Here is a 23311-nt window from a genome sequence, read left to right as displayed (position 1 = left end):
GGGACTACAGGCGCCCACCACCACGCCCGGCTGATTTTTTGTATTTTTAGTAGAGACGGGGTTTCACCGTGGCCTCGATCTCCTGACTTCGTGATCCGCCTGCCTTGGCCTCCCAAAGTGCTGGGATTACAGGCGTGAGCCACTGCGCCCGGCCTTGCTTAGCTCTTTTTCTGTCAGTTTCCTCAGGTGTAAAACAGGAATAACAATATACACCTTGCAGGATTTGTGTTATGTTTTCAAGGGATATTTTACATAAAGTAGCTACCACACTGCTTGTCAGGATGGACCTGAAGAAATGGTAGTTATCATCATACTCTTGACTCTCTGAACAGGTTTATAGGTAGTAATTCTGTTATGCAGAAACTTTAGTCAAATAGACCATGCCATTGTTGATCATTGGGCTGTAACACAGGTGATGTCTTTGGCCTTAGGTAGAAGCTGTCCAACTCATAGCTGATGGAAAAGCTCCTCGTATACCCCAGCCAGAAGAAGGGGCAACATATGAAGGTATCCAGAAAAAGGAAAATGCTGAGGTATTTATATATCAACTCAATAACACGTCTCAGAGTTCATGGCCCTCTACCCTTCAGTAGTTCCCCACATACTATGATCTTGCCAAAAGGTAAGCCAGCTTGCCCTAGCCCTACCTGTTAGAGTAGACAGGTAGCCAGACATACGCAGGAGAGGGGAGTCCCCTAAAGAAAATAAAGTCTAGGAAGACTCGTGTCTGGAAGACCACTCAAAATTTGCATATTAATAGTATCTCTAATGCTGGAGTGGGTGGGCACTTAGTCAAATGTGCATAGAAAGGAGAGGAGATACTATGCAAACAAACAAACAAACAAGCAAATAAAAAATGCCCAGAAACGCCTCTTCAGTCTGCCCAACAATCCTTCGCTCTGCAGTTAAAATGTCAAAATATCACTAGCTACATGCTAATGAAAAGGGCAAAGGGGATATTCCTTAAAAAATCTGGCATGCTAGGTGCGCTGGGCACAGTGGCTCATGCCTGTAATCCCAGCACTTTGGGAGGCTGAGGGAGGAGGATCACTTGAGACCAGGCATTCGAGACCAGCCTGGCCAACACAGTGAGACCCCTGTCTCAAAAAACAAAAAACAAAAACCTGGAGCCATAAGTTCAGCTTAGGGCAGAGAAGGAAATTCCAAAAAAACACACAGATGCAGTAGGTATAGATTTGGCCACTATACAACCTCCCTGCAGTGACAATAGTAAACAACACAGGCATCAGGTAATATTCATATCCAACACCAATCCACACATACACACCAACTAATAATATGGAGGGTCCCATAAACCTGAGACAAAATCTAGGTGCGGACAAAGCAGAGAGCTAAGACAGACACAAACAAACTAGACAAAAAAAAAAAGAGGCAGAGACTTAACAGAGGTGGGAACTTCAAAAAAAAGTTCAACCTAATAAAAACCCAACATAAAACTCTCCAACAGCTACTGGCCTACTCCCCTCAACAGCCCGCTCTACTTCATCTTTACAAAGCATACTGTCCCTTTAAATAACCCTCTGCTTTTTATTTTCCTTTAATAAAGTCTCTTGTTTACTAAATCAGCCACCTGACAAAATACTTACTCCAAATAAAACTAAGAAGCAAAAATTCCTTTATTTCCCAATAACAAGTGTTTCTGCCTCTGATGACGAGAAGCGTTTTTATTGCCTTTGAGGTTCACAGCCATAGGAGGCTCAGCCTGTATTTTGTGCCTTCCTAGATTTCTTGGGACCAGTCTGCCGAAGTTTTACATAACTGGATTCGAGGTCATGATAAAGTCCCTGGAGCTTGGACAGAGATAAATGGACAGGTATGTTTTAGGGACCACTCCCCCCACCCCCCTCCCCGATTATTACCTTTGTAAGAGATATTACAGATAAATCTGGGCTTCCCATGGTTCTTCCTTGGTCATGAGGCAGGTCTGTGATTCACTCTCCCCTTTACTCAGCATGTATTAAGCATTTATTGTGCAGCAGACACTAAATCCAGCGCCTGATCTAAGGAGCCTGCAGTTTTATGGGGAGTGCAGAGAAGTGAATAAACATTCTCAGTGCAGTAAGATAAACGCTATCATGGAGGCTGAGACTCAGGCATGTTAGGAAAGGCTTCCTAGAAAAGCTCACTGCTTTGCTCGAGAAGAGTTAACCAGGTTGAGAGCAAGACAAGTAGGTGAAGCCCCAGAGATAAGAGACTCCAGCACCTGGTCAAGGACTTGCAAAAGGAGTTCAGTGAAGCCAGGGTCTGAACTGTGAGGACAGGCATGGGGAGAGCTGAGGCGGGAGAGGCGGGCAGGGCCTGAAGGGTCTTCTATCCATGGGTAATTGACTCAGCCCAGGCTCTCAGGTTTCACCTCTTCGGGGAGGTTTCCTGATCTCACATGCCCAGACTGGCAGGGTCTGATGGCCCATCTCTGGGTTCCAGCAACACTCTGCCTACCTCTGGCATCGCACATCATATATTGTGAGGGTCTCTTTATTCCCCCCAACACTAGACTGTGAACTCCTTAGGGGCAAGGGCTTCATGTGATTGTCTTGATAATCTCAGCAGTTAAGCAGGAGTCTGGGTACATACTAAGTGCCAATAAAAATCCATGGGCTCGATGGGTGACCAAGGGAGGGAGTTTAGTGTAATGGTTAAGAGTGCAGGATCTGAAGCCAGAATGCTTCTATGAAAATTTACTGTGTAACCTCGGGCAGGTTTCTTAACCACTGGGTGCCTTGGTTTCCTCAATGTAAAATGGGACTAATAATACTGCCTCCCTTAGGTTATGGGTAATTGTGAAGATTAAATGAGTTGGCCAGCCATGGTGGCTCACACCTGTAATCCCAGCACTTTGGGAGGCCGAGGTGGGAGGATTACCCAGGTCAGGAGTTCGAGATCAGCCTGGCCAACATGGCAAAACCCTGTCTCTACTAAAAATACAAAAAAAAAAAAAAAAAAAAAAAAAAAAAAAAAAAAAAAAGCTCGGTGTGGTGGCATGTGCCTGTAATCCCAGCTACTTGGGAGGCTAAGGCAGGAGAATCATTTGAACCCGGGAGGCAGAGGTTGCAGCGAGATTGCACCAGCCTGGGTGACAGAGCAAGACTCTGTCTCAAAAAAAAAAAAAAAAGAATTAATACATGTTAACTCATTTAAGTACTTAGCCCTGGGCCTAGAGTAAGTATTCAACAAACCATTATAGCATAATCATAATAGTGCTCCATAAATGATAGCTGATCATCCTAGAAGTGCAATAATAATGCAGTCAGCGTCAGTGTCTCTTGGTTACTCTCTGGATCCAATCCTTTTTCCATGAACTGACTCACAAAGCACCCTGTGCTTCTCATCACTTACCACCCTGCACTGTAATAGTCTGGTGACCACTGTGCATTGCCCATCATTGACGCCCACCCCCAACACCTCCCCACCCACCCAAACCCTACCTTCAGGCTATAAAGGCTGAGAGCTTTTTATCTCATTCACCTTTGTATCAATGCAAATATGTGATAAATGCATACTCATGTCACCTGGATGTGGGGCATTTTGGACTCTCCAGTGACATATTCACAGACTATTTCTTGCCTTGTGTCATTTCTTTCTTTCTTTCTTTTTTTTTTTCTTTGAGACAGAGTCTGGCTCTGTCGCCCAGGCTGGAGTGCAATGGCACAATCTCGGCTCACTGCAAGCTCCGCCTCCCGGGTTCACGCCATTCTCCTGCCTCAGCCTCCCGAGTAGCTGGGACTACAGGTGCCCGCCACTATGCCCAGCTAATTTTTTGTATTTTTAGTAGAGACGGGGTTTCACCGTGTTAGCCAAGATGGTCTCGATCTCCTGACCTCGTGATCTGCCTGCCTCTGCCTCCCAAAGTGCTGGGATTACAGGCGTGAGCCACTGTGCCCGGCCACCTTGTGTCATTTCTATGGATGTTTGAGACAGTTTCTCCCATTGTGGTGTCTCAATTTTATTACAGATGATAATATGAACTTCAGCGTTTTTGCAGAGAATGATGCTTATACATACCGCTATGAACAGCTTTTCTCCTGATTTTACAATCTGTGTTTGATCTCTTTACTAGATGGTCACTTTCTATGGCTCGACATTACTGAATAGCTCTGTGCCTCCTGGAGAACCACTGGAAATTAAAGGTGCCAAGAAGCCTGGTCTCGTTACCAAAAATGGACTTGTTCTTTTTGGTAACGATGGAAAAGCAGTGAGTGTTAAATATGGCTGCCTATGAAATAACCTTTTGATTTTCTTCTATAACCCAAGCTATTAAGGGAATAGCTTTCACTCCATTGCTGGCTGGGGAGGAGCTGGCTCTGAGTGCCCTGATGGAGATGAGGTGTCTCAAGATGGGCCCCACAGATCTGCATAGGCTGCCTTGTGTAAAGTGGAAAGAGGCTGGAATTCAGTGGGGAGATAAGGATGTGAATCCCTGCTTCCCACTCGCTGGTCTTGGGCAGGATGATTCTTCCCTTTGAGTCTGTTTTGCCATCTTTATAACAGAGAGGAGAATCTTGTCTGTCTGCCTTCCCAATGCCAGATTCTGGGAGGATCAAGTGAAATAGATGTGGCCCTCCTCAGATGCCCCTTGCCACTGATCCACCAGACAGGCACCACCTAAACTGCCTATGCTCAGGAGGGTTGGCCCTGGGCCTCAGTGTGCCCTTGCGAAGCTTCCCAATGAAGCGTGCAAAGGGAATTTGTAGCTTACAGATATTTTCCAGTTGCTGCAGGATAAATCGTTAAGACTGTAGGCCGCTAGTTCCAGGTTCTACTCCCAGCTCTTTTACTTACTGTCTGTGTGGCACTGAGCAAATTACTGAACCTCATTGAGCCTCCCTTTCTGCATCAGTAAAATGGGAATAATAATGGCATCCGCCTCCACTGGCTTTTATGAAATTAGGTAAGATCCTTCAGCACATGCATGCATTCTTTTTTTTAGTATATGTGCTGCTGAAGCAAGCACTTATGCATGCATTCTTGAGCATGGTACAGGGCAAGTGCTCAGAGGCAGCAGCTGCAGAGTTGCAGCAGCACTGGTGGTGTCTGTTATTTTCATAATAGATTCTAATTCAAATACCTACGTCCAAGTGTCAAATTTTCCAGGACTTATTTTCCATTTTGAGATGTACCTATCCCTGGACCTCACTTTTTCCTTTCTGCTGCCATTATTCAAGTGCCATTTCAGCCCTTTTACACATAATGGTGAATGCTTTTAATCTGTATTTTTCCAAATAAACTTGCCCTTATATGCATATAATCTATAGGACTCCTCCCACCAGCCTCACTTTTGTATTGTCTCAATCCTCAATTTTTATGCTTGTTTTGTTGCTATTTTGTAGCTGACGGTGAGAAATCTGCAGTTTGAAGATGGAAAAATGATCCCTGCCTCTCAGTACTTTTCAACGGGTGAGACGTCAGTGGTAGAACTGACAGCTGAAGAGGTGAAAGTGGCAGAGACCATCAAGGTGAACACATGATGACTTAAATCTTACTGTTACCTTGGAAAACTGAAGCATGTTCGTAACTGGTACCATCAGTCCTCAAAGTAGTGGGATCAGAACTTTATTTCCTCTTTTTTTGTATTAGCTGCAAGAGGAAATCAACCTCCAAATTCATATGCTTAAACACAGTATATACAAACTGATTTTTCACATAAGTCATCCAAGGCAGTTCCAGGTTGGCACGGGGGTTAGGGGTGAAGTCATTCAGGAACCCAGTTTCTGTTATTTTCAAGGTCTCCCTGGGGGGCGTCTCTATTCCAGACAGCCAGAAGGGCAAAGGAGCATGTAGAATGGCGTGGAGGAGGTTTACATGGGCTAGGACTGGGGTGGTGCAGGTCACTTCCACTCCTGTTCATTGGTTGCATCTAACTTGGAGAGGCGCTGAGAAATGTGATCCAGCTGTATGTACAGCTGAGTGTACAAGATGAAGAGGGAATTGGTTTGGTGAAGAGCTAGCCCAGTCTCTGCCACATTGTTCTACGTGGCACTTCCCTCATAAGAGTTTCCTTTTTGTGTAGGTCATCTGGGCTGGAATTTTAAGCAATGTCCCCATTATTGAAGACTCAACAGACTTCTTTAAATCTGGAGCAAGCTCAATGGATGTTGCCAGGTAAAACCACGCCCTTATTGACTCACTAGGGATTCCCTCACTAGAGATTTTGACTTTGGCTTTGACAGTGAAATCCACACACATCCTTTGTTCTGGATGTGATTACCTTATCATACCTATCTATGACTCATCTTTTTTTTTTTTTTTTTTTTTCCTGAGATGGAGTTTCACTCTTGTTGCCCAGGCTGGAGTGCAATGGTGCGATCTCGGCTCACCGCAACCTCCGCCTCCCAGGTTCAAGTGATTCTCCTGCCTCGGCCTCCCGAGTAGCTGGGATTACAGGCATGCGCCACCACGCCCAGCTAATTTTGTATTTTTAGTAGAGATGGGGTTTCTCCATGTTGGTTAGGCTGGTCTCGAACTCCTGGCCTCAGCTGATCCGCTTGCCTCGGCCTCCCAAAGTGCTGGGATTATAGGTGTGAGCCACCACGCTCGGCCAACACATCTTTATTCTTCATCTTTTTTTGCTATTGTTTCCATGGTCAAGCAGATATATCCGTTTAGTTCTCTTTGTTGCTAACCAGAAGTTGTTTTCATATCTTCCGTATACCTAAAAAAGCAACCCTTAGAATTGTTTGCATCTTTTAAAAATTTGTCCTTCCAGTTTCTTAGCTAATTTTCCTCCAATATGACATCAGAATTGAGAAGCTCTGGGTGAGAATGCTAACAGTGAATTTCCTACGCAGCCTGATCCAGAATATTATCTGAATAATATCTGACACCTGATATTAATAATATTACCAGAATAATATCTGATACCTGATATTAATTATGCTTTCCCCCAAATCTTTTTTCTCCTACCCTCGCCCCCCCCATAAATTACCTAGTAAGACAGATCTAGAATGAGGGTTATCAGGCTACTTGCAAGGACAAGTGTAATCACCCAATATCAGAATTTCTCCACAGAGGTTTAGAGCAAGTTGAAAGGGCTGGAGTCCCAGAAAGCCTCTATCGCAAGGAAACTGGACCAGGATCCTACTGGTGCAGCATCTTTCAGAGGTGTTTTTCTTCGAGTAACTGGGATAACAAGACAGCTGGAGCTCACCAGGGACTGTGCAGTCCCTTGATGGTGGGTACAGAGAATAGAAGCTAAGAGGATTTGATCCTAGGCCACATTGTGGCCATACACTAATTAAACAAGGCAAAAATGTTCCTCCTCTTGATAAAATCCTTCATATTGACAAAGCAACGTTCCTGATGAATATTCTATCTACTCACTCATTTACTTAACAACACTGACTGAACACTTACTACATGTCAGGAACAGTTTTAGCACTGGGGATACAGTGTAAACTAGACAACGTCCCCTTTATTCATGGAGGTTTTATTCCAGAAATCAAAAACAATCATTTCAAGAGCACATAGTGTTTTCAAAAGTCAAGAGTTTCGGCTCCTCAAATTATAGATTTCTCAGCTGTGATTCATGAGTTCCCAGAAACTTCTAATTGGCTTAACTAAATATTTCAATACTACATTATGATGATTATTATTACAGATAGGGCCTCACTCTGTCGCCTAGGCTGGAGTGCAGTGGTGTGATCACAGCTCACTTGCACTAGCAGCCTTGCACTCCTGGGATAGCCATCCTTTCATCTCATCCTCCCTACTAGTTGGGATTACAGGCATGAGTCATCACACCTGGTACATCACACACAGTACTGTATTATTATTATTATTATTATTATTATTATTATTATTATTATTATTATTATTTTGAGACAGAGTCTCGCTCTGTCGCCAGGCTGGAGTGCAGTGGCGCAATCTTGGCTCACTGCAACCTCCGTCTCCCAGGTTCAAGCGATTCTCCTGCCTCAGCTTCCCAAGTAGCTGGGATTATAAGCAAATGCCACCACGCCCAGCTAATTTTTGTATTTTTAGGAGAGACGGGGTTTCACCATGTTGGCCAGGGTGGTCTCGATCTCCTGACCTCGTGATCCACCCGCCTCGGCCTCCCAAAGTGTTGGGATTACAGGTGTGAGCCACCGCACCCGGCCAGTACTGTATTATTAATACTTTTTTTTTTGCTAGCAAGATACTCCTGCAGGAATTACTCATTTTCTGTTTGAGTGTCTGGCTTACCATAATCATCTGATATTATTATCTTGATTACAAAGGTATCATCTCTTTTAGAGAATAAATGATTGAACCACAACCATGGTGGACTTTCTACACTGTACCTCGTACACCACTGCTATTCAAGAAATGTCAGATAACAGCTGTAATTTGACAAACTAACAGTGGAAATCAAAGGATTGGAAAGGACTTCAAAAGTTATACTGACCTACTGCATATGGTTCTAGCTAGTACCTATGTTAACTACGTAATACAAACAAATGTCCATCTTATACTTGTAATTTAGAGAAAATAGTCTACAATATGACATTCATCTCTCATAATCTTTACAGTTAGGAAAGTGTCTTTGTTTCTTATTCCCTGAGTATATATGAAAGGAAAGGAGTTGACTTTATATGATCCTTGCTACCTTGCTTATAAGTAATTAAAATATTTTTGCCTTGATTGCTTTTATTTTTAGTCATGGATAAAGTTTTAAAAAACTGCCACTGTCCTTCAAGATATATTTTTAATTTCTTGCCCCTAGTCTTATCAATTTCTCTGATGAGTATCACAGAAGATCTCATAGGATATAAATAGGCATGTGATGTAAGTCTTACCTCAAAACAACTTGACAAGTGCAAATAACACAATCTTCCTAACCCCTTTTAAAAATCTAAGTAACGCGAAGCTGGTTTTTACTTTAAGGCTGGTTGAAGAGATCAGACAGAAATGTGGTGGGCTTCAGTTGCAGAATGAAGATGTCTATATGGCCACCAAGTTTGAAGGCTTTATCCAAAAGGTCGTGAGGAAACTGAGAGGAGAAGATCAAGAGGTGGAGCTGGTTGTAGATTATGTAAGCTTTTCCTTGATGTTGCAACCCTAAATCAGTGAGATCCATACACTATAAAAGACTGCTGTGCCTGTTGCCCATTTGTTTTTATATTTATGACCTTTAAAAAACAACAGCTTTACTGAGATCTAATTCAGATGGCATAAAATTCCCCTTTAAAATGTGCATTTTGGGTAGTTTTTAATATATTCACAGGGTTGTGCAATTATTATGCCATCCAATTTTGGAACATTTTCATCATCCCAAAAAGAAGCCCTGTACCCATTGGCAGTCATTCTTTACTCTTCCAGGACTACCTCATACAAAAAATGTTCCAAAATTGGATAGCATGATAGTTCCTAGAAAATGCTAACCTCTTTTCTGTCTATGGATTTGCCTATTTTAGAGATTTCATATAAATAGAATCATACAACATGTGGCTTTTTGTTTCTGGCTTCTTTCTCTTAGCATAATGTGTCCAACGTTCATCCATGTTGTATCATCATTTCATCCCTTTTTTTGGCCAAGTAATATTCTATTGTATAAGTATACCACAGTTTGTTTACCCATTCATCAGTTGATGTACATTTGGGTTGTTTCTACCTTTTGGCTATTATGAATAATGCTATGAAAATTCATATATAAGTTTTTGCATGAACATATGTTTTCAAGTCTCTTGGGTATGTACCTAAGAGTGGAATTGATGAGTCATATGGTAACTCTATGTTTAACTTTTTTGAGTAACTGCCAAACTGTTTTCCGAAGTGGCTACACCATTATGTAATCCCACCAATGTATGAGGGTTTCAACTTCTCCATATCCTCGCCAATATTTGCTCTCATCTGTCTTTTCTCTTTTAGTTGTCCTAGTGGGTGTAAAGTGGGATCTCATTGTGGTTTTCATTTGTATTCCCTAATGACTACTGATGTTGAGCATCTTCTCATATACTTATTGGGCATTTGTATTTCTTCTTTGGAGAAATGTCTGTTCTTTCAAATCCTTAGCTCATTTTAAAACTGGCTTGTCTTTTTATTGCTGAGTCTTAAGCGTCCTTCGTATATTTTCGATACTAGATCCTTATCAGATGTAAGATTTGCAAATATTTTCTCTCATTCTGTAGATTTGCTGAAAACTTTGAGTGTCCTTTGACACACAACAGGTTTTAATTTTGATGAAGTCTAATTTATCTATGTTCTTTTGCCACTTGTGCTTTCTTGTGTCTTGTCTGACACCTTTTTATTCCTCAATTTCTCCCTCACTGCTTTCTTTTATGTTAAATATGTCTAGTATGCCTTTTTAATCCCTTATTTTTAATTTAACTGTATTTTTAAGCTATTTTCTTAGTGGTTGCCTTGAGGATTATAATTAACATTTTTGCTTAAAATGATCTAGTTCAGATGAACACCAACTTAATAGTATAGGAAAGCTTTGCTGTAACATAGTTGTTGCATACTCCCCTAATTTGTGCCATTATTGTCATATGAATTATGTCTTTATACATCATGAGCCCACCAACAGTTTTATAATTATTGCTTTATGAAGTTGTATTTTTAATGAGATAGAGTTAAAAAATATATTTATACCAATGTTTATATTTACCTGTGTAGTTACCTTTACCAGTACTCTTTATTTCTTCATGTGTTTTCAAGTTAATTGTCTGGTGTTCTTTCATTTCAACTTGAAGGATTCTTCTCAGTACTTTTTGTAGGCCAGGTATGCTAGCAATCAATTTTCTGTTTTTGTTCACTTGGGAATGTTTTAATTTCTCCTTCATTTCTGAAGGATATTTTTGTTGGGTATAGAATTTTTGGACGGTATTTTTCTTTTATCATTTTAAGTATTTCATCGTATTGCCTTCTGGCCTTCATGGTTTCTGATAAGTCAACTGGTAATTTTATTAAGGACTCTTTTGTATGATGAGTTCCTTCTCTCTTGCTGCTTTTGAGATTTTCTCTTTGTCTTTTGATAATTTGTTATGATGTGTCTAGGTGTGGAGCCTTTGAATTTTCCCATTAGAATTTGTTGAGCTTCTTGGATTGTGCATTCTTGAAATGTGCAAATTAATGTTTTTCATCAAATTTAGGAAATTTTCAGCTATTCTTTCTTCAAATATTTTTCCTTTCCCTTCTCATTCTCCTCTCCTTCTGGGATTCCTTTTATGCATATGTTGGTATAGTTGATGGTATCCCATAAGTCTCTGAGGCTCTGTTCATTTTTCTTTATTCTTATTCCTTCCTGTTGTTCAGGCTTTTTTCACCTTCTTGAATTTGCTATTGGGTCCCTCCAGTGATTTTTTAATTTCAGTTATTGCACTTTTCAACTTAAGCATTTTTATTTGGTTCTTTTTAAAATAATTTTTATCTCTTCATTGATATTCTCTGTTTGGCAAGACATTATTCTCTTTCCTTTAATTCTTTAGACATGGTTTCCTTTAGTTCATTGAACATATTTACAAAAGCTTATTGAAAATCTTTCTTTAGCAAATCCAATGTCTAGGCTTCTCTAGGGATGGTTTCTATTAGCTGCTTTTTTTTCACCTGTTTATAGGCCATACTTTCCTGTTTCTCTGCACGTCTTGTAATCTTTTGTTGAAAGGTGGTCATTTAAAATAATAGAATGTGGTAACTCCAGAAAGCAGACCTTCTCCCCATCTCCCTTCACAACATTTGTTGCTGTTGCTGCTGCTGCTTTTTGTTGTTGTTGTTCAATGACTTCCTTGACAATTCTGTAAAGTCTTTATTTTTTATTGTTTGCCACTACTGAAGTCTCTGTTCAGTTACTTTAATGGTCATCTAATGATTGGGCATAGATTTTCTTAGACACCTTGAGCCAATAAGTCTCCCAGCATTTGTGAGGGGGCTCTGTGTGTGTGCTGGGATATACCTTCAGTGCTCCAGCAGGCAGTTTACAATTCTGCCTTACCTTCACACTTCCTGCCTGCACAGAGCCTCAAAGTCATCCAGAGTTAAGAGATAAGGGCCTTCTGAGGTCTTTTCTGGGCACATGCACAAGCCCTGCTTGTATATTGGTCTTCTGGATTCCCAGGAATATGTCAGAGCTTTTCAATGCCTCTTATGGATATCTCATTCCCAGTTATTCCTCTTGTTTTTTGGTCAGCCATTTTTTAGTGGCTGTGGGCAGCTGCAATATTAAATAATTGCCACTGATTATTTTTGACAAATGTCCCAGGAATAGGGCTGTTTGTGCATAACAAGCTCTGAGTCAGATCTAGTAAAGACAAGCCCAAGCCAGGCATGGTAGCATGTGCCTGTAGTCCCAGCTACTCAGGAGGCTGAGGCAGGAGGATCACTTTGAGTCCAGGAGTTTGAGGCTGTGATGCACTTGATCAGACCTGTGAATAGCCACTACACTCCAGCCTGGATAACATAGTGAGACCCTGCCTCTAAAACCAGAAAATCTCTGAGAGTAGAGCTTTCCAGGGAGCTGCCAGGCAGGCCAAATAGTAACAGTTCTTTGGGATGAGGCTTGTGAAGAGCTCCAGACCCATTTCATCCCCACCAGAGGCTACTAGGCTGCTGGTTTTCACAGCTACCATACTTGCAATGAAGTTGGCTTTTCAAGGCTATTGCAGAGCTTTTGAGAAAGATGGGAATAAGGCAGTTAATACACCATAAAGCTCACTTTTCTTACTGTGATTCAGCTATTCTTCTTGAAATGGATTATTGCAAGCCTTTGGCTAATTTCCAGAGTTCTGAGAGAAGTGATTTTTTAACAATATTTTCTAGTGTTCTCATTGCTTTTATGAAGGAGTGGATTTTCAGAGGTCCTTACTTTCCTGTCCCAGAAGTACTTCTCACCCATTTGTTTTTAATAAGAATTAGGCAAATCTGAAAAGCAGTTTAGCATTATCTGGTTAAGAACATGAATTTTGGAGTCAGACCAACCTAAGTTTGAATCCAAGTAGCATGGCTTACTAGCTGTGTGACCTTGGGCGAGTTACTTAACTTCCCTAAGCCACAGTTTGCTCCTATTATTACCCTCCATTATTATTACCTCCATTATTATTATTTCCTCCATTATTTTTACCCTATTTATAGAGTATATAATTTGATTCTCCTAACAACTCTCTGTGGTGGATGTTATTATGTAATATTATTATTACCCTATAGATTGGGTAATTATTACCTGCAAAACATTCTAGTATGCACATAATATGAAATACGTCTTCTGTTACTTGACTCATATCACCCAATTTATAGGGTAATAATATTATATAATAATAATATATAATAATGATATCTACCTCAGAGAATTGTTAGGAAAATCAAATTAGGTGTTATACATTCAGCATATTCCAAGAATGATAATTTCAGAAAAGTGGACTGTTTGCAGACACTGAACACATCAATTCCCATGAAATTTCCTTCATTATAACCCACATAAACACAATGGAAATAGCTCATAGATCATGAGCACTCAGTGTGGGAAAAGGCAAGAGACCTTCTTGCTATTTTTTGTTTCTTTTTAAAGCACTGACAATTCCTCTCTGTGAAATAATTTTTTAAATAATTACATTTCCTTTTTAATACCTTGCATTGATATATTACCTCAGTTTTTCCTCACAGTAACTGCATGAAGGCAGTATCATTATCCCCATTGCATTGTTGAAAAAAACTGAGCCTCATCAAAGTTCATTGACTAACCTCAATTTGCTTGCCAGCCACTGGCAGAGAGTACAATTTACGCAACACATGTGTAACAGACAAAAAGTGAAAACAGAGAGGAACTTAAGGAAAGCAAACTTAAAATGGCACCAGTGTAAAAGGAAACCTATTGACAAAGGCATTTTCAATGATTTCAATGAAGGCAACAGCTGCGCTCCACCAATGCTGCCACTAGATGGTGGTGTTTCCATTATCTAGAGGTCTTGTGAGTTACCTTTTATCTGTTAAGAAAGAAAATCTGAAATCTGTATAAAGCCTGGCCTAGAGCACTTCTGTCTTCACAGCTTCTACCCTCCTGCCCCAGTGGCCAAGGCAAGCATCTTGAGGCCCAAATCTCACATATGCATGTCTTCTGTACAGTCGGAACTAGAATGTCATTGACTTCTCCCTCTGCATTCGTGAATATGCTTCTTTATTGCTGTTTGACATCAAATTGGTAAACACGGAAATCCATTGAATCTATTAATATACTTCTCTCAGATTTCAAAGGAGGTCAATGAAATCATGGTAAAAATGCCATACCAGTGTTTCATAAATGGACAGTTCACAGATGCAGACGATGGAAAGACTTACGACACTATCAACCCAACAGATGGATCTGTGAGTAATTCTTTAGTGTGAGTAGTGATCACTGGTCATGGATTTTTAGTTAATACACCATTGTAAAAGAGGCAGTCTTAAGAAGCCCTTTTATTCTCTCACTCTGCCTCTAAGTACTTCACACAAATGTACTTCATGCTTTTCTTTCAATGACTCAATTCTGGTACCAGCTGCTATTAACTGTAGTAACCTATTTTATAGAACATTTATGATAAATTTAGACAGGTAGCTTTACCTATACACACCAGAGGCACTCATCTGCATAGAGATATATGTGAAAAAACTTTCCAGACTTTGAAGACTCATGGCAAGAAATTCAGCTTTCCTAAAGCACTGGAAGAACTACAGTCTTCCAATCTTCCTAAATGTGTTCTTCCATAAAGTAGTATGATATGAGAAGTACTAAATTTCTGGTTCACAATTTTCATATTAAAATTGTTCTTTTTCTTTACTGTAGTACTAGATATACTCATTTCTTATCATAACTTTTTTTAAAATCAGTAATACTCTATTTTTTCTATTAATACAATATTAATTCCAAGAACCATATTTTCATATCTCTCATGGGGCCTATTTTTACTTACCTTGAAATAGACAATATGCAAAGTATCCTACGCTTCTTTGGCGGATGTTGATAAAGCAGTAGCAGCAGCAAAAGATGCTTTTGAAAACGGTGAATGGGGAAGAATGAATGCAAGAGAAAGAGGAAGATTGATGTATAGGTATTTCTATTTTTTATTTTTTTATTTTTTAGAAAAGTAACTCTGGTAGAGACAGGGGTTCACTACGTTGGCCAGGCTGGTCTCAAATTCCTGACCTCAGGTGATTCACCTGCCTCAGCCTCCCAAAGTGCTGGGATTACAGGCGTGAGTGGTGGCACGTGCCTGTAGTCCCAGCAACTCAGGAAGCTGAGGCAGAAGAATTGCTTGAACCTAGGAGGTGGAGGGTGTAGTGAGCCGAGAGTGCACCACTGCACTCCAGCCTGTGCTAGAAAGCAAGACTCTGTCTCAAAAAAAAAAAGGAAAAAAAAGAAGCAAAACAAAGTGAGTCTACTACCTTTGGATATTGGCTAACATTGCCAAGATTTTAAAAATTCCTGCAAAACATTCTAGTATTCACCTAATATGAAATATGTCTTCTGTTACTTGACTCATATTAAATCCTATATATGTTGATTATGTTAGTATTGCTTGCATCAGGCAGGTCCCAGCTGGAAAAGAAGTTTAATAAAGAACTGTTCACAAAGACGTGGCCGAGGTCAAAGAAATCCAATAAAGGATACTGAAACATCCAGGCAGGGCTAGCAGCAGGGGGAAGCTGCTATGTCAAGGTCTGAAGGGACAGGGGAAGGAGCTGTTACTGGAATCTGGCAAGATCTGTAGCTATACGAGAAAACCACACTGCAGTGGAGGGACATGGCAGCTTCTGAACCACAGCCTATCAGCGAGGGAGCCAGGGAATCCAACTCCCCAGCCACTTTTTCCTTCAGTTCACCAATATTCTGCGGGTGCCTCCCAGTGGTCTCTCACTGGCCAAGCCCAATGGGAGAGCAAGGGAGCCAGGTGATGTAATCTATAAAGGTCATTCACCAGGGTCAAGGTCACAGAGCAGGGTGGAGAATGGATACAGAGAGCGGCAAGTGGAGAATATCCAGTACCCTGTTGTTTTAAAAAAACATTTTATATCCACTTGATGTGTAAGGAATAGGAACAAGGAAGAAAAATAATAAGGACTGGGAAGAATATTATAAATCAGTAATGAAGGATGCCAGGAGTGATTAGATTCAATCATAAATTCCATTTGCTGTTTACCTAAAATCCAATATCGGACCTAGATCAATAGATCTCCTAGAGCAATGATATGATTTGGCTGTGTCCCCACCCAAATCTCATCTTGAATTGTAGCTCCCATAATTCCCATGTGTCATGGGAGGGACCCAGTGGGAGGTCACTGAATCATGGGGGCAAGTCTTTCCTGTGCTGTTCTCATGAAAGTATATAAGTCTCATGAGATTTGATGGTTTTATAAAGGGCAGTTCCCCTGCACATGCTCTTGCCTCTTTCCTTTATAAATTACCCAGTCTCAGGTATGTCTTTATTAGCAGCATGAGAATGAACTAATACAAGCAAGATCTGGAACAAAGATTGTCGGAGGGGGATTTCAAGCTGGACTCTAGAGTGGCCCCAAAGGAACAGCTCAGAGAACCACTACAAATACAGAAGAAAAATAAATAGAGAAGTTGAACACAAAAGATGAGTCTTACCGTATCATAGTCATTATACAGTCCTGCACTTACCTTCCCATAAAACTTGTGAACACCAAACAGAAATCTGTTGCAGTGTTTGTAATTCATTGTGTACGTTGCTATCTTGTCTCTTCAGTTAGTTTTGGAAATATTTTTGTGCCAACTGGAAATCCTCAAATGTTCATGGGTTCTCAGAAGTGTGGGTTCTGGGAATGTGGTTCCAATGACTGGTACTGGCTCAGTCATTGTTCTACTTCTTACACATAGATGAGGCAAGTTATATATGCTTCCAATACCCTCTGCTTCTCCTTTGTAATTCTTGAAACAAATGATTTATGAAAATATTTGTTTAATGTCTTTCTTGCCTACTGGACCATGATCTCTATAAGGGCAGAGATCTGATCCATATGTGTTTACCTCTGAATTCTCCGTCCTTAGGATACTGCATTATATGTGACAGGAGCTCAATCAATACTTGTTGAATTTATTTCTTTCACTGACCACACAGACTTGCAGACCTACTGGAAGAGAACCAAGAAGAGCTGGCAACTATTGAAGCCCTTGATTCAGGGGCTGTCTATACCTTGGCCCTGAAGACACACATTGGAATGTCTGTGCAAACATTCAGATATTTTGCTGGCTGGTGCGACAAAATTCAGGTAAGCACAAATATTATTTGTTCTGAAAGAAAAAGGGACTAACATTGATTAGTTTGTACCAGGCACTGTGTCAGATCCTCTTTTTATGTAGATTTTTTTACACCAACATAACAGGGTTGTCTCAATCCATTTTATGCTGCTGTAACAGAATACCTGAGACTAGGTAATTTATAAAGAACAGAAATTTATTCTCTTACAGTTCTGGAGGCCGGGAAGTCTAAGATAAAGGTGTCAGCAGGTTTGGCCTCTAGTTTTAAGATGGTGCCTTGTAGTGCATCCTCTGGAGCAGAGGAACGGTGTGTCCTCACCTGGCAGAAGAGTAGAAGAGAGTGAATCCACTCCTGCAAGCCCTTTTTATAGCGGCATTGATCCATTCATTAAGGTGGAGCCCTCACGACCTAAACACCTCCTATTAGGCCCTACCCCCCAACACCGTGGCATTAGGGGTTAAGTTTCCAGCACATGCATTTTAGGAGACACTTTCAGACCCTCGCAATGGTTATAACAACTACGGGAAGTAAATGGATAGCTCTTATCCCCTTATTACATGTGAGCAAACAAAGGCTTGAGGACATGGATGCCTTTCCTATAATTTGTAGCAAGTAACCCATACGACCAGATTTGAAGTCAAGATTTTCCGAATCTAAAGTCTAATGATCTTCTTTGCATTTTACTATAATATCTCCTGAGGGTGTTGAATAGTTTTCTAGACACTTTGGAGAAGCCTAGTATCATGTAGGGTTTACAAATTCAAATACCTACAGAGGCCAGAGAGCTACCGTAGATGGTGGAAGCAGACTGAGTATAAGAAAAACTTTGTCTTTGAATATGTGTCCTAGGAGAAATAAATTAAAAAAAAATTTTTTTTTCTTTCTTTTGAGATGGAGTCTTGCTCTGTCGCCCAGGCTGGAGTGCAGTGGCGCCATCTCAGCTCACTACAACCTCGCCTCCTGGGTTCAAGCAATTCTCCTGCCTCAGCCTCCCTAGTAGCTGGGATTACAGGTGTGCACCACCACGCCTGGCTAATTTTTGTATTTTTAGCAGAGACGGGGTTTCACCATGTTGGCCAGGCTGGTCTCGAACTCCTGACCTCAAGTAATTCACCTGCCTTGGCCTCCCAAAGTGCTGGGATTACAGGCATGAGCCACTGCGCCTGGCCAAAAAAAAATTTTTTTAAAGAAAAACTTTGATAAAGATACAGGAATAATAAATAAATATTTCATTTTACTGTATGATAATAAATAGCAAACACAGGGTGATCAACGGCAACAACACTAGCTCCAGCACTGGGGATACAAAAGGGAGATGTAGGGCTTGTAGCAAACTGCAGTATGCATGTTCCTCATAGACTCATAATAACCACTGCAGTACCAGTCATTGCAACCACATTCCCAGCAGCAAAAAGAAGGAAGTGAGAAAGGGGGAGTGGTAAGAGGAATTTAACAAAGCATTCTTACCTTCCCAGTACCTTTTGCTCATATCCCTCCTTGGCCATCTCTATCTGCTAAGGAGACTGGGAAACATCATATTTCATCTGCATACATTGCTGCCACCAATGTTAATGTACAGTCAGACAGACCTGAGTCAAGTCTCAGCTCTGGCCCTTATCAGCCGATGTTGTTAAAGTTATTTTCTCTCTCAGAACCTTACTTTCCTCCTCTATAAAATGGTCACAGTAATACATACTTTGCAAGTTATGTTTTGAGGATTGGAAACGAGTATTTGTACACTACAGGATTAGACAAGTCTGCAACATAGCAGGTTTGCACAAAAATGAAATTTTTATTGTGGTTCAGCCACAAAGTCATGCATATATTGATATTTACTAATGGTAGTTCAGGTCCATCTGTTATCCCCAATTATGAAACCCAAATAGTTCTGAAACCTGAAAATTGTTTGATTGGTTCAAACTCGTTTGATGCCAAACCCTGACCTAAATGAACATAATCTATTAATAATATTTATTTACATCACTTAGAGTGAATATTCAAATGTTTCAGTGAATAAATACTAGCATGTTTGATTATGGGAGGCTTACCCAAATCCTGCTGGGGTAGTAGATAATATAAGGTATATGCACTATATTACACTTCTAAAGTCCAAAAAATTCTGAATTCCAAAACATAACTGGCTACAAGTGTTTTAAGAAATTGTACACCCTATTAGTAGTAGCAATAATATTTTATGTGGCAAAGCAAATGAATAGCTTTCATTAAAGGCTACTATTGTGATTCCGTTAGGATTAAGTTGGCTGCATATAACAGCCAACTTATTCCTGTTTTTTTAATCCTATTATTTTTCTCTCACTTTCAAGGAGTCCAGAGACAGGCAGTTAGGACTAGTATGTGAGATGCAAACTCTTTTTCTGTCTTTGCCAGGCCATGTGACCTCCACCCTGAAGGTTGACTCATGGTCTCAAGAAAACCACTGCAGTGCCAGCCATTTCAGCAACAGTCTAAACAGGAAGAAGGAGGAAGCAGACATGGAGGGAAGAATAAAAGAGTAGAGTTAGCCTAGTTTAAGTAGCATTCCCCTTCCAATGCCTTGTGCTTGTATCTTCCACTGACCATCCCTAATCTGGAGAATGGGAACCATAGTATTTGATCTGGGCATATTCCTGTCCCCATTATTAATATAGGGATTCTGTTACTAAGGACAGAGGGGAGAGTGGATAATAGGCAGGCAGTTCACATTCTCTGCCAGGCCAAGCAATTAGGAATGGACTAAATTAGAATTATGTTTATTCTTCTGTGTTTCATGGTTCTCTTGAGAAACAAATAGCTGTTCCTTCTTTGGCATGAATATAGTTCTTATCAACAAACGCTCTTTTCATATCAGCTAACAAAAAGTAAGAGAGGAAGACAGAAAATGGATCCTTTGAGATGAAATTTACTTATTTAAATTAGTAAAATAAGTATCAACTTTTCTCATTCTTTAGGGTTCTACTATTCCAATCAACCAGGCCCGTCCAAATCGCAATCTGACCTTCACCAAGAAAGAGCCACTCGGGTAAGATAAGGAGAGTGCCTCTGAGTGAATCATGAGTTGTGTTATTTGAAACAACTAAGCATGTCGAATTTCTTCCCCTGCAGTGTCTGTGCCATTATTATTCCCTGGAACTACCCGCTGATGATGCTGGCATGGAAGAGTGCTGCGTGTTTGGCAGCAGGCAATACCTTAGTGCTCAAGCCAGCACAGGTAAGGCCACAAAGGGCCAGGTGCAGAATTGCCTCCTCTCTTATATCCAGTACTTCAAAAAAGTGAAATATATTTATAAATAGCAAACAAAAATGAGATGGTATGGCATTTTTCTCATATATCATGGACAACTTTTCATGTCAGTAAATATTCATTTTTAATAGCTACCTAATACATTGTATGGAGATTCCACAATTTAAAATTTTCATAATAATAGAAGCAAGCATGGTGCACATCAGTGAAGTCCAATGACTTTCTACGAACCAATTCAATTCTTGCAAAATGCCAAGTGCCCAACAATTAGGGAATTATTTAGAGTAATTATCAGACATCAAAAAAAGTATTATGCAGGTATTCAAACTTAATTGTCAAAAATATTGTAAAGGCGGAGGTTGCAATGAGCCGAGATCGTGCCACTGCATTCCAGCCTGGGCAACAAAGCAAAGACTCTGTCTCACAAAAAAAAAAAAAAAAAAAAAAAAAAAAAATATATATATATATATATATATATATATAGAGAGAGAGAGAGAGAGAGAGAGAGAGAGAGAGAGAGAGAGAGAAGATGTAGAAGATGAGGGAAAAGCATGTAAAAGAATGTCTGTAATTATAAAAATATATCCAGATGGATAACAAGAAAATACTTTTAAGAAATAGTTCAGGTAGTTTTCAAAAAAATCTCTTAATGCTACAATAGCTTTTTAAGAAAAAAATATGGCAGCCAAGTTAACACTGGCTGAGCTTTTACTATATAAAGTGCACTATGTAAAATTAGAAGAAAAATAAACTTCTTACTTGGGTTTCTGTTATCTGCAGGTAACTTTACTAGGTAGTAGGCATTCTGAGGTGCATAAGTCGTGGAGTAAACTTGGTCTTTATTCTAGAAGTTTATAATTTGTTACCTCTCAACTCTTATTTCTTCTTTCAGAGTTTAAAAAAATACAGTTTCATTTGGCATAGCTACATGGTCATGTGGCCACGGCCATTTTGTTTTAATCATTAAAAACGATTTTATTTGAAAAAGTAGGTATACGTTCAAAGTTTTCAAAATTCAAAAGATACAAAGAGGTAGATAGTGAAATGTCTCCCTTCTATCATTATTCCCCAGCCAAGCAGTTTACCTCCCAGAGACAACCAATGTGATTGTTATCTATTAGTGGCTTAGATATCCCAGAGATAGTCTCTACATATATATGTGTATATTTATGAATATGTAGTTTCATTATGTATATGTAGAGAGATATATATTATTATATGTAGATATATATAGTATTATATATGTGTATATGTATATATTGCTAATTAATGGGCATAAAGTTTCAATTACTGGCCAGGCAAGGTGGCTCACACCTATAATCCCAGCACTTTGGGAGGCCAAGGCGGGTGGATCACTTGAGGTCAGGAGTTCAAGACCAGCCTGGCCAACATGGTGAAACCCCATCTCTACTAAAAATACAAAAAATTAGCTGGGCATGGTGGCGGATGCCTGTAATCCCAGCTACTCCAGAGGCTGAGGCAGGAGAATCGTTTGAACCCAGGAGGCAGAGGTTGCAGTGAGCGGAGGTTGCACCATTGCACTCCAGCCTGGGCAACAAGAGTGAAACTCTGTCTCAAAAAACAAACAAACAAACAAACTTCAATCATGTAAGATGAATAAGTTCTAGAGGTCCTCTGTGCAGTATTGTACCTATAGTTAATTAATACTATATTTTATACTTCAAAATTTGTTAAGAGAGTAGAGCTCACGTTAAATGTTCTTACCACAATAAAATTTTTAAAAACACACACAAAAAGTAGCATTCTATATACTTAGCAAAAAAAAAAATTCTAACTTTTTTTAGCAGTTTCCATTGTATAGATAAAACATATTTTACTTAATCAATCCATAATTATGGATATTCAGATTTTTTCTCCTTTTGCTGTATAAACCATGCTACAGTTAATAACCTTATAAACCTTGTAAGTATAATGCACATGTGCAAGTATATTTATAGTATATGTTTCTAATAGCAGAATCCCTCAGTTAAAAGATACATGTATTTGTGTGATAGATATTGACAAATCCATCCATGGGGGTCATATTAGCTCACCAGCATTATACAAGAGTACTGTCTCCCACTCTTGTTTAATAGGTGCACAACCCATTAAACAGCAAGAAGCTAGTTGAGTGAAGTGAGGAGACAGGTAATCTAGCCCAGTAGAGCTCCACACTGGCTGTACATTAGAATCACCTAAAGTTCTCCTTTTAAAATGCTGATATTGGGCCCCACTGGCAGAGATGGGGCCCCATATCAGCATTGTAAAAGGAGGGATCTGATTTAATTGGTCTGAGTTGGAGACCACGCATTGGTATTGCTTAAAAGCGTCACGTTTTTCCAAGGCACAGCCAGGATAGAGAACCACTAAATGAAATCCAATGAGTGCTAATCACTGAGGAATGGCAATGAGTATATATAATGTCCAAAAATTACAAACATTCTTTGAGTGCATACCAGTTGCCAGATAGGTAGTAGTGATGAAGATACACAAAGTTTCTGTCTCCATGGAAATTACAGGCTGGCTCTATCTGCAGTTTAAAACTGGCAGTTTTATAGTTGAAGATAATTTAAATCCTGAGAATGAAAGACCCAAAGGTGCCATTGTTATGCTGGACTTTTTAATTTTATTGGATAATATTATGCAGTGATGCATTTATAATATTAGGGCTCTGTGTGAAAGTCAAGAGGACTGAATTGAGATGACTCCTCTTAAACCTGTTGTCTGCTTTGTTATATGTGTGAAAGATTCTCTCCTGGCTTCATACAAAAGAAAGCACAGATTTTCATGGCCTAGTGTGGTCTGGTCCAGGTGTGACAAGTTCTGACTTTATTAACCTCATTTTTAGCAATGACCTACACTTGCCCAGAACCATACTAGAGGCTTT

The 23311-nt window shown here is 40.0% G+C and overlaps 1 protein-coding gene across 7 annotated transcripts in view, besides 1 other annotated feature; it reads left to right on the top strand.

Moving 5' to 3' along the window:
* Window positions 1-23311, top strand: part of ALDH1L2 (aldehyde dehydrogenase 1 family member L2) — a 64669-nt gene that overhangs the window by 17358 nt on the left and 24000 nt on the right. For 4 of the 7 annotated variants that reach the window (NM_001034173.4, XM_047428406.1, XM_047428407.1 and 1 more), the window contains 11 exons: window positions 432-533; window positions 1745-1834; window positions 4079-4213; window positions 5349-5474; window positions 6029-6120; window positions 8881-9028; window positions 14170-14289; window positions 14884-15011; window positions 17043-17193; window positions 20132-20202; window positions 20286-20391. In NM_001034173.4, the coding sequence (NP_001029345.2) occupies window positions 432-533; window positions 1745-1834; window positions 4079-4213; window positions 5349-5474; window positions 6029-6120; window positions 8881-9028; window positions 14170-14289; window positions 14884-15011; window positions 17043-17193; window positions 20132-20202; window positions 20286-20391 (1269 nt within the window). Of the gene's footprint in view, window positions 1-431; window positions 534-1744; window positions 1835-4078; window positions 4214-5348; window positions 5475-6028; window positions 6121-8880; window positions 9029-14169; window positions 14290-14883; window positions 15012-16390; window positions 16613-17042; window positions 17194-20131; window positions 20203-20285; window positions 20392-23311 lie in introns of those variants that run through there. The other 3 variants (NR_027752.2, XM_011537989.4, XM_017018890.3) reach the window with 3 other exon arrangements.
* Window positions 5405-6604: an enhancer, noted in NCBI's record as "CDK7 strongly-dependent group 2 enhancer chr12:105454275-105455474 (GRCh37/hg19 assembly coordinates)". NCBI's record gives its function as "activates an origin of replication core promoter dependent on BRD2, BRD4, P300/CBP, MED14 and CDK7 cofactors, with strong dependence on CDK7, by STARR-seq in HCT116 cells {active_cell/tissue: HCT116}" and the evidence as "EXISTENCE:reporter gene assay evidence [ECO:0000049][PMID:35650434]".

The sequence above is a fragment of the Homo sapiens genome, chromosome 12 (genome assembly GCF_000001405.40).
Source record: "Homo sapiens chromosome 12, GRCh38.p14 Primary Assembly".
Taxonomy (NCBI): domain Eukaryota; kingdom Metazoa; phylum Chordata; class Mammalia; order Primates; family Hominidae; genus Homo; species Homo sapiens.
This window is presented reverse-complemented; position numbering and strand designations above follow the sequence as displayed.